Source organism: Homo sapiens, chromosome 1 (assembly GCF_000001405.40).
Source record: "Homo sapiens chromosome 1, GRCh38.p14 Primary Assembly".
NCBI classification, from domain to species: domain Eukaryota; kingdom Metazoa; phylum Chordata; class Mammalia; order Primates; family Hominidae; genus Homo; species Homo sapiens.
Genome location: NC_000001.11, coordinates 212483476 through 212494411, shown reverse-complemented (window position 1 = coordinate 212494411; position 10936 = coordinate 212483476). Strand labels below are relative to the sequence as shown.

General features: G+C 49.0%; 1 annotated feature.

The window, feature by feature from the left end:
* Positions 6164-6702: an enhancer, noted in NCBI's record as "H3K4me1 hESC enhancer chr1:212661052-212661590 (GRCh37/hg19 assembly coordinates)". NCBI's record gives its function as "activates a minimal SCP1, AML or CMV promoter by ChIP-STARR-seq in primed H9 embryonic stem cells {active_cell/tissue: H9 hESC(primed)}" and the evidence as "EXISTENCE:reporter gene assay evidence [ECO:0000049][PMID:30033119]".

Here is a 10936-nt window from a genome sequence, read left to right as displayed (position 1 = left end):
CCAGCACTCAGGGTGTTAGTGCATCCACCTGGGTTTGCTCATGAGAAGCCCTCCACCATGTCCATGAACCCCTCCCGCCACCTCCTGCCTGCCATTGCTTTGCCAGACTGGATATCATCCAGGGCTGTGGTGTCCCCACTGCTCTGCCTGTGTCTGAAGGGTGTTTCCTGGACTTCTCTGCCTGAAGAACTTGTACCAGGGGAGGCTCTCAGAGCTATGGAGTGGCAGAACCATGTGTCCTACAGATTATTTAGCACACCGGCTATTGTTTTGACTTGTATGTTGTCATTTTCTCAATCCAGGGCCTCTGTGAAGTCTTGAGTGGATGCCCAATAGGCTAAACAGAAGGGAGTGGGTGGAAGGGGTAGAGGAATGGCAGTTGCAGGACCATCATTCTGGTCAAGGCCCCAGTTGGCAGGGATAGAGCTGGGCCCTGAAGGGAAAATGGCCAATCTAAGGTCACAGGGACAGTTGGTGGCTAAGCAGAACTAAAATCCAGTGTCCATGTCCTTCTCACCATTCCACATTCCCAATCCACTCTGCTTCTTGTTTATCAGCTACTGATGAGGCCACAGTCCGGGTGTACGTGTCCATTTCTCTTGTTTCCCCTGCAGGCAGAGAGATGGAGGCCAATCTTCTGGCCCCTTTCTGGGCCAGGGCCTCTAGGCACATGGGCAGCACTGACCACTTGCCCACAGGGAAGGGGAATGTCCTGGGTCACGTAGCAAGCACAAGGCTGAGGGCAAGTCTGGGATCACCTTGCAGCCTCTCCACTGTAGGCCCATGACCTCACCCAGACCAGCACTAAGTTAGCCACCCCTTCTTCCATCTCTTCTTCCTCTTCCTTCAGTCCCAGAGGGGAAATGGGGCCCTTTTTCTTTTTTTCTTTTTAAATTTCAAATTAAGGGCTGGATGCTGTGGCTCACAGCTATAATCCCAGGAATTTGGGAGACTGAGGCAGAAGGATCGCTTGAGGCCAGGAGTTTGAGAGCAGCCTGGGCAACATAGCAAGAACCCATCTCTATTTTTTTAATTAAAAAAATTAAAAATAAATAAATAGATTTCAAAGTAAGCTTACAGTAGGTTAAACATTCACGATTCAAAATTCAAAACATACAAAAGTTATGCTGTAAGAAGTCTCCTTTTTGACCCTATCCTGTGGACACTCACTTTCCAGCTGTGGTTAGTTTCTCCTGCAGCTTTCCAGAGATGTCTGCATAAGGCCTTACAAATGGTTTCTGTAAAGAGCCAGGTAGAAAATACGTTCAGCTTTGAGAGCCATAGGCCTCCTCTCACAACTTTTCAATACTGCATGGTAGTACAAAAGCAGCCACAGATGATACCTAAACTAATGAATGTGGCTGTGTTCCTGTGAAATTTTTTTATGGACACTGAAATTTGAATTTCATGTAATTTTCATATATCACAAAATATTATTCTTGGCCAGGTGCAGTGGCTCACGCCTGTAATGCTAGCACTTTGGGAGGCCAAGGCAGGTGGATCACCTGAGGTCAGGAATTCCAGACCAGCCTGGCCAACATGGTGAAACCCCATCTGTACTAAAAATACAAAAATTAGCTGGGTGTGGTGGCACACACCTGTATTCGCAGCTACTTGGGGAGACTGAGACATGAGAATCCCTTGAACCCGGGAGGCAGAGGTTGCAGGGAGCCGATAGCCACTGCAATGTCCAGTCTGGGTGACAGAGTGACACTCCGTCTCAAAAATATATGTATAAATAAATAAATATTATTCTTAATTTTCCCTTAAACATTTAAAAATGTAAAAACCATGCTTAGCTCAAGAACTGTACAAAAATATAATATTTCAATGTATGGATGAACCATAATGTATTTAAACAATGTCCCATTGATGGACATTTAGGCTGGTTCTAGTTTTTTGCTATTGCATCTAATACTGCAGTGAATAAACTCACCCACACATAATGTTATGTGCAGGTAATGTATCTATAGGATAAACTGTGGGACATTTGATCAAATCTGAACAGCCTTCCAGCCTCCTCCATCTCCTTTCTCATCTTGCTCCCTTGGTACCTGCCAGTTAACATCAAATGTACTGAGAGCCTCACAAGTTCTAGCCACCTTGCCAGGTGCTGAACACCAGCCAATAGCCCAGCAGGACTGGTTTCTTCTTTCCTCATGTCACATAATCCCTGGAGTCTGGTGGACCAGAGCTTGCGTTGCAGCTCCTCGCCACACCTCAGTTTCCCAGGCTCCTTCTACCCTTTTGCTCTGCCATACTTAGGATGTGATGTGACTTCCATCTTCAAGGTTGCCATATGGTCGTGACATGGCCACTGTGGCTCCAGACATCATATTCTCATCCCATAGAATAAAAGAGAAAAGAGGGTAAGAGGCAGCAGAGCACACATCCGTGGAGTCAGCCTCCTTTAAAGGGCTTTCTCGGAAGTCATCCCCAGATGCTTCCATTTTCATCTCATTGGCCTTACCTGTGACCCATGAGCCCCTGAATGCCAGGAAGCCTGGGAAGTTTGTTAGCTGGACACATTGCTCCCCAAAGCAACATTGGGATTCTGTTAGTGAAGAAGTGGAGGAAGTAGATACAGGGTAGTTAGTTAGCTGTCTACCACAGTTGGGATAATCTGGAAGACTTCGTGGAAGACATGGGCATCAGTAGAATTCAGACAAGAATTTAGCGCATACCAAGAACTTTATTGCATGCTGGATAGGTGGGGGAGGGGAGGCTCCTTCTGTTAAACTCACATGTGAGGGAACAGTTTCAGTTCCCATTTCGGATATAAGGAAAACAAAACCTAGAGCTCTCCACTCACTCAGGGTCACACGGCAAGTAAATGGCAGAGTCCAGCTTCCAATTCCAAAACCCAGCAGACTTCCTTTTCTCTGCTGGGCTCACCTCCCCATTCCAATCTGTGTATGTAGAGGGGAAGGATAAGGATTCCAAGACAGGGAAGCTCACCTTGTATTTCCAGGACCACTGATGGGCTTTAGGCCTCAGAAGGGAAAGGAAGAGCAGTCTCCAATTGCTCAAAGCAGGAATTTGTGAACACAGAGAGATCTTATTTACTCATGGGATAATTCCCAAAAGGATTTAGTCTTTTTTACGTTTAAAAAATGAAAGTCAAAAATGAAGTGGAAAATGGAAGGAGACATTTTGGTCGTGGGGCGGGGGGAGTTGAGAGCCTTCTGTTGGAGACCCCGGAAGCAGGGCAAGGCAGGGGGTGGGAGGCATACCCCAGGCTGGGAGGCCAGGACTGGTGAACAGGGGGCATCTCTGCTCAGGACCAGCACCCTCTGCCCTCGGGCAGCAGCCAGCAGTGGCTGACACCAGCCAGGAGCCGGGCAGAGGCCAGACAGGTAAGGAGTGTGGCCAGGCTCTTCTGAATCCTGGGGACATCCTCACCTTGGGTGAGGTGCCACACTCCTGCTCTCGGGGTCATCTTCAGCCTCAGCAAGTGGAAAATCGCCTAACCCCACAGGCATGTCACAAAGCCTAGGGCCTTGAGTTTCACCCCAGACTTGGCAGCTCAGGGGGTTAGAGAATGTAAGGGGGACAGCGGGAGGGGTGGGGATCCCTGGGCAGTAGCTGTGGCCAAGCACTCCCCACCACCACCCCCATGAACAACAGGACCCTGGGACTGCAAGCAGAGCGAGTTGGGGTCAGATGCGAACAGATGGGTGATGTACAAAGTAAGTTAACCTCTCTGACTGTCACCTTCTGAATCTAAAAACCTAAATAACTAATCCTACCCTGTGAGGTGACATACACAGACAGCCAGAATCCTAGCAAGTGCTTAGAACAGGTGACACACTAATTTGACTAATGTAGCTATTATCTTTGTTGTTAACATTTTGCTCTCTGGTAGATGATGCCCCATTAACTAAAATCCGGAATATGGAAAGAGGAACAGGTCAGTGGGGGTGCCAGGGGAGCCTGGAGATATCAGCTATTTCAAAGAGAAGCTGGAGCCCATCCTTGACCTCAATCAGTTAATGCATACAATGGTTGAAAATGGAAAACAGAACAAACCATATTCCAGTGCTGTACGGATTCATTAGTAAACAGGGATTTGTTAAGCCCTCCTGATGTGCTCAGCATGACTCTAAGCTCTCTGTCAAATACAAGAGAAGTAGAGAAGTAGAAAAAAAAACCCAGCTAATGCATCCACTTGGAAATTGTGGCAGAGGAATTTTCTGGACAGTATCCACACACACTTTTAAGAGAATTTTGTACATGTTACATATTTTGGATGAAAATACTTTTAAAATATGCTACACGCATCCCTGGCATCTTAGAGGTTATTGAACATATTTGTTACAAACATCATCTATTCTGCTGTCTTGTAATGTGATGATGGCCTTGGAGGTTGTGGCTGTTTGCTGCCCAACTAGGTAGTCCCCAGGTGTTACTTTGTCTTTGCATCTACTTTTATACTTGTTTCCAGGCATTCCCTCACCACTAGGCTTTCATGTGTGAGTTTTCCTTGCTGCTTTTGAGCTGCCCTTCTAGTACTTTCACTTTATTGCTTCTAATTTGCTCCGAGGTTAGAGATCAGATATAAATGATTCATCTATTGATAGCACATCTTGGCCCTAAAAGGAATTAAGGGGACTATAATGATTTCCTAAGTACTTGCTATGTGCCAGGCATTTGACCAGCTGTTTTGCAGCCATTATTTCATTTTTCACAACAGCCCTGTGAGGTAGGCATTTTTATCTCCATTTCAGAGATGTGTAGACTGAGGCTCAGAGAGTTTGAGCAACTTGCCCAAAGTCGCACAGCTGCTAGTGAGTGGCTGGGCTAGAATTCAGTTGCATTGGGAACATCTGTGCTTTTCCCCCTGTGTGGCATTTCTGCTCCGGTGTTATGGTAGATTGCATGCTGTTCTCTATTGCTTGTTATTGCATTGGGCTGTGGCAGTTTTATTTTCCTGAGTAGAACAAAAGCCCCTTGAGGACAGTGACCTGGTTGTCCACTTATGAACTGCCCACATCATTGGGCCCAGTGCCAGGATTCCAGGTGGTCAACAGCTATTTTGCAAAGAGTGGGAGTCTGGAAGAATGAGGGCAAGAGAATGGTGTAGGCTACAGCCTGCTCCCATCGCGATGCCTCTTTACCTTTCTGCTTCCTAAAATTCTCAACTTGCTACCAGGCATTTTCTGAGCAGAATGCTTTGTCTGCAAAAATCCATACCCTTCCCTTGGCTTAAACCAGTAATCATTAAAGCCTCCATGTGGGCCACTCTGGTCTGGGATGAAGGAGTGGCTGGCTCAGGCTGCCTGCCTCTCCCTGGGGGCAGACGTGGAGGCCAAGCCCACACAAGGAGACAGCAGCTCAGTAGGGAAGACTGGTGTTGAGTTCAGGATTTTTGCTAAAGAAATTCTAGAGCTGGTGCCTCTGATAAAACCCTTTCATAGAGAGCTTCTTTCCTGGAAGGAGAGTGGCTGAAATTGCAGTGGAGCTGACTTTCCAGCCAAAGCAAAAAGCAGGCCAGCATCCCAGCAGAGCCAGATTCTGCTAAGTAATGCTTGCTCTCAATCTTTGCTCTGTGGCTACAGCTTTGTGTTCCATCACATGACTTACAGAGTTTATTGTGACATAGTTTCTGTTGTGTCTTGGTTGTCCATCAGAAACACTGAGCTCAGTGGGGAAAGCCCCCATGTGACCAGAGATGTCTGTGAGCCAAGCATTTCTCCGGATGACATCACACCCTTGCTGATTGCCCAGGTGTTTCACGGCCTCTGAGAGCTGACACGGAACTTGCATCATTTCTGATGCTTGGCTCTTTAATTTGTTTGTTTTTGGTAAATAGTAAACCTGGACTAGGGTGGGGAAGTTTCCAAGATAACCAGATTGTAAACATATTCTACAGAGAATTTGGCAGGACTTGGACCTGGAGCCATCTCATTTCTTGTGGGCTGACACCCTGAGGCAGAGGAAATGATGGTGTCCAGCCCCTCTTGTGTCAGTCCTAGAACATACTTAAGATTCTGAACCTCTTTGGATCAGCCACAAAGGCCCACGGCCAGGTCCTGCTACCTCATATGCTTTTGTGTATCTCTTTTCCCCTTTCCTCTCTTCAGGCTGGCTGGTATCGGAAAACCCTGGATTCCCCTCCTTCCCTCTGCTTCTGTCCATTTATTTTCCTGGAATCAAAGCACAGCCTTGCACCCACATACTCACTTTGGGTCCATGAGCAAATCATTTCACAGGCCTGTGGAGGGCCAGGACGGGGGTGCTCTGCAGAGCTCCCACCTCCTCCATGACCTTACAGGAGAGGAGACAAAGGCTGGCAGGGCAACTTCCCCAAGTACCCAGAATGAACTACTTAACCCTGGGCAGGGCTCTGGAATGCTATGCTTCAGCCTACACATTGAACATGAACTTGGGATGGACCATTGATGGTTTCTGAGCAGGAGTGCTGGGACCAGAGCTGTGTGTTAGAAAGTGGATTCTGCCTGGGCACGGTGGCTCACATCTGTAATCCCAGCACTCTGGGAGGCCGAGGTGGGCAGATCACCTGAGGTTGGGAGTTTGAGACCAGCCAGACCAACATAGAGAAACCCCATCTCTACTAAAAATACAAAATTAGCCGGGTGTGGTGGCACATGCCTGTAATCCCAGCTAGTCGGGAGGCTGAGGCAGGAGAATCGCTTGAACCCAGGAGGTGGAGGTTGCAGTGAGCCAAGATTGCGCCACTGCACTCCAGCCTGGGCAAAAAGAGCGAAACTCCATCTCAAAAAAAAAAAAATAGTGGATTCTGACTCTGCAGGGAGGAGGACGTGAGGGGACAGAGCCAGGAGACAGAGACTAATTAGAGGCTGCCTATGGAAAACATTACTAGGCCACAGTTGACAGGCCTTTGTCGCCCATGGGCTGGGAGCAAGGAGGAGGAGAGAGGCAACACAGTTTCCCCAGGGCATGACCCCAGGGGGTCCTGTGCAAGATGTGACCTCAGCCAAGGGCACTGGCTGTGGGGAAAGGAAGGGAGGCCCCTGTGAGAGGTTTGCTGTCTGAGACTCCTTAGACATTGGCAACAGGCTGGATATAGAGAATGCTTAACCCTGGAATGTTGTCAGTGCTTTAGGGAAGAAGAGACATTTGGTGTAGGGGGTGAGTGTGCATAATCTTAGGGGCGGGTGGGGCATATTGACATCTAGATGATCAGTTGGTCATTCCACAATGTATCGTGTATCAAAACATCACACTGGCCAGCACAGTGGTGTGCACCTGGCGTCCTAGCTACTCGGGAGCCTGAGGCAGGAGGATCACTTGAGCCCAGGAGTTTCAGGCTGTAGTGGGCCACAAAGGTACCACTGCGCTCCAGCCTGGGTGACAGAGCAAGACCCCAACTCAAAAAAAAAAAAAACCACATTGTACTCCATAAATAGATGCAATTATTATTTGTCAATTAAAAATTAAATTAAAATTTAAAAAAAAGATGTCCAAGTCAAGTGCCCTACATAGAAAGTGCCCAACAGCACTGGAAGAGTAAAAGCAAGGACCGTAGAACCAAAAAGCATCAGGCAGAGAAGGCTGAGACGGCCAAGCCAGTAAGAGAATGCAGTGCCCTGGCCCCCAGCAGTCACCCCAGGACCCAGATTGTGCATGTGAGCACGGTGCCACACTTGGTTAGGGCTTGCTGGGGAATGGAGAATTCTGGTCCATTCCACCAAACCCCATCCCCTCCCAGAACCTACCTCCCAACTCCTTCCCTACTGATCCGTGTAATTCCCCATCTGTGCTAGGACTGGGACCTAATAGGACTGTTTCTATATGTGCCCTGCCCCCTAGCAGACCACGTGCTTTCTGAGCCTGGAGCCCTGTCCCCCTTCTTTCCTTCTTCTAATTCCCCACAGTGTCCAGGACAGAGCCCACATGTGCTGGGGACAGGCACACCATAGGATACTCAGAATGTCCAGACAGGGTGCCTGAGGCCCCATTTCCTCCTACCAGGAATTTGTGCCAGGTCCTGCCAGCATAGACAGTGACTTCCCTGACTTCCTAGTTTGGACAAGGTCGGTCAGTTCAGGTGGCTGCATGGTTCCCCCCAGGCTATTTACCTAACCTGCTGCAAATAGACCAGATGCCTGGATTCTGGGTGAAGGGGCAGGAAAGGGTTGTTTTTATTCAGACCTGCTCAGCCCACCTGTCCCAGAGGCTCCATGTTATCAAATGTTTTCCAGTTCCTATGGCGACGAAATCACGGAGCCAGGATGTGTTATTGTTCCGGGGAGAAAAGGGAAGGGCCACACCATAGGACTGACGTCCATTCATCCATCTGTCAGCCAGCCGCTGAGTCACCCAGCCATGGTCTGGTGCATCCACGCAGTCACTCCTCTGTGGTCTGAGGCTCCCACAGGCCTTCTCTCTTTGGCAAGAGGCTGGTCCCCTGTCCGTGACTGTCAGCAAGCATGCAACAGAGCACCCCTGCTGTGCCACATGTTGCCCTGGGCACTTCAGGGAGGCTAGCAAGGTGGGGAGGGAAGCTACTGAGGGGGGAACAGTCCTACCCTTAGGGAGTCAGAGCTTATGGGGAGGCATGGTCCCTGTCCTTTCAGAGCACACATATATATTCACAGACAGTTTCTAGGGCCACCTGTCGACTGGCTTACTCAGTGACCTCGGCCAAGCCACTTGACCTCTCTAAGCCTTTATCTCTTTATGCACAAAACAGGGAAAGTAGTACTATTTCATCAGATGGTTATGGGAAAGAAATGAGAGTGCCAGTGAAGTGCTTAGCACTGTACCCAGCATTCTACAAAGCACTCAATAAAGAGCCGCGTATGGTTATTGCTGATGAGTAGACCCTGGCCACACATCTCTGGACTACCTGAAGGTAAATCAGAGGGAGCTCCTGCTACTCCCCCAACACATGTGCCACCCACCTCACCTGCAGGGCAGCCATGGGAGGCCACCATGCACACAACCAGCCCCATCGCCCACCACCAGAACTTGAAATAGAAAGCTTCAACTGTGCAGACATAGATGAGGACAGAACAAGAGATTTGACAGGTCAGCCAAAGAGGTGGGTCAGCACAGGTGGTGAGGACCAAGGAGGCCGGGAGGCAGGCATTTCGAGAGTATCCCGGAGAGATGCTCAGGCCTCCCAGGTGCGCAGCAGGTATCTCCGGGCTTCTCCTAACTCCCTTGCTCCAGGACTGTGCTGGCCAAGCACCTTCTGATGACAGTTTGGACTTCTGGGTAGAATTCCCTACTGGAGAACAGGTGCTGATGGGTGAACACAGCCCACTGGGTAGCTGGATCCTCACCGTGAGCGACTGAATCAGCACTCTGATATTTACACTTGGGCTGCAGTGTGAGTCACCCCTCAACTCAGCCACCTCCAAGGCTCCTAACCAACTTGGATTTCTAGGCCTACAAAGTGGAAAACTGGCCCCTGGAATGTGATGACTACAGGGAGGAAATACCCTCTAGGGAACCCCCCACAAGAGGAACCTTCCCCAAGGGGAGCCCCAGAATGCACCTAGGGCCATTTTCCATACTGACCTCTGCTACACGCTATAGCCAGCCCAGCTAAGGCCACTCGCCCTGGGCTGGCCCTAATGCAATGCCCTTCAGACTGTGGATCAAGACCCATAAGTGGGTCATGGAGTCACTTTAGTAGGTGGGGTGAGCATTCTTTAAAAAGTCCACAGAATACAATAACAGAGGGCAAGGCATGGTGACTCACGCCTATAATCCCAGAACTTCGGGAAGTTGAGGTGAGTGGATCTCCTTAGGTCAAGAGTTCAAGACCAGCCTGGCCAACATGGTGAAACCCCGTCTCTACTAAAAATACAAAAATTAGCTGGGCATGGTAACGGGCGCCTGTAATCCCAGCTACTCAGGAGGCTGAGGCAGGAGAATCACTTGAACCCTGGGAGGCAGAGGTTGCAGTGACCTGAGATCACGCCATTGCACTCAAACCTGGGCAACAAAAATGAAACTGTCTCAAAAAAGAAAAAAGAATAACATATTAGAGTGTCTCACAGACGAGTAAGGGTGAGTATTACTTCATGAATCATTGGTGTGTATATATATACATATATGTGTATATGTATGTGTGTTGTATGGGTGTATGTACACACACATAATACATGGATAAACTTGAGCCAATGCCCCTGAAATAGAAAAACAGCACATTCTAATTGAATAATTTCTCGGAGCATTTGATAGAGGCTGTTTACAAAGATGGGACAGGGTGTGGGTAAATCATAAGGGACAGTGGGGCTCACTTATCACCTTTAGGCTTGAAGGCTTGAAGGAGGAAAGTGTTTTCAGAACTTGGAGACAGAGAATGATGTGGAAAGAGCGGGGATCATCAGGTGAGGGACCAGCTAGCCTGTGGCAACCCCACTGGGGAGTAAGTACTTCCCCCTTCTCCCTGTCTCTGCAGTCCTGCCAGGCCTGCCCTGCCGCTGAACCCAAGGGAAACTGAGAGCAGGGGAGCCAGGGAGGAGGCCGTTCAGTGGAAACATCCAGTATATAATGTGTGCACGGGATGCAAAGTAAAGTACAAGTGTTTTTCACTATGGGTTTCAGTTAATGACTTTTTTTGTTGTTGTTGTTGAGATGAAGTTTCGCTCTCGTTGCGCAGGCTGGCATGCAGTGGCGCAATCTTGGTGCACTGCTACCTCCACCGCCCAGGTTCAAGCGATTCTCCTGCTTCAGCCTCCCAAGTAGCTGGGATCACAGGCACGTGCCACCACCCCCGGCTAATTTTTGTATTTTTAGTAGAGATGGGGTTTCACCATGTTGGTCAGGCTGGTCTCGAACTCCTGACCTCAATTGATCCATTTGCCTCAGTCTCCCAAAGTGCTGGGATTACAGACATGAGCCACTGTGCCCGGCCAGTTAATGACATTTGAAAAACAATACCCTAGAGGCCCGTGTCTGACACCGAAGTTACTGCCAGGAAGAAGCCAGACACTTC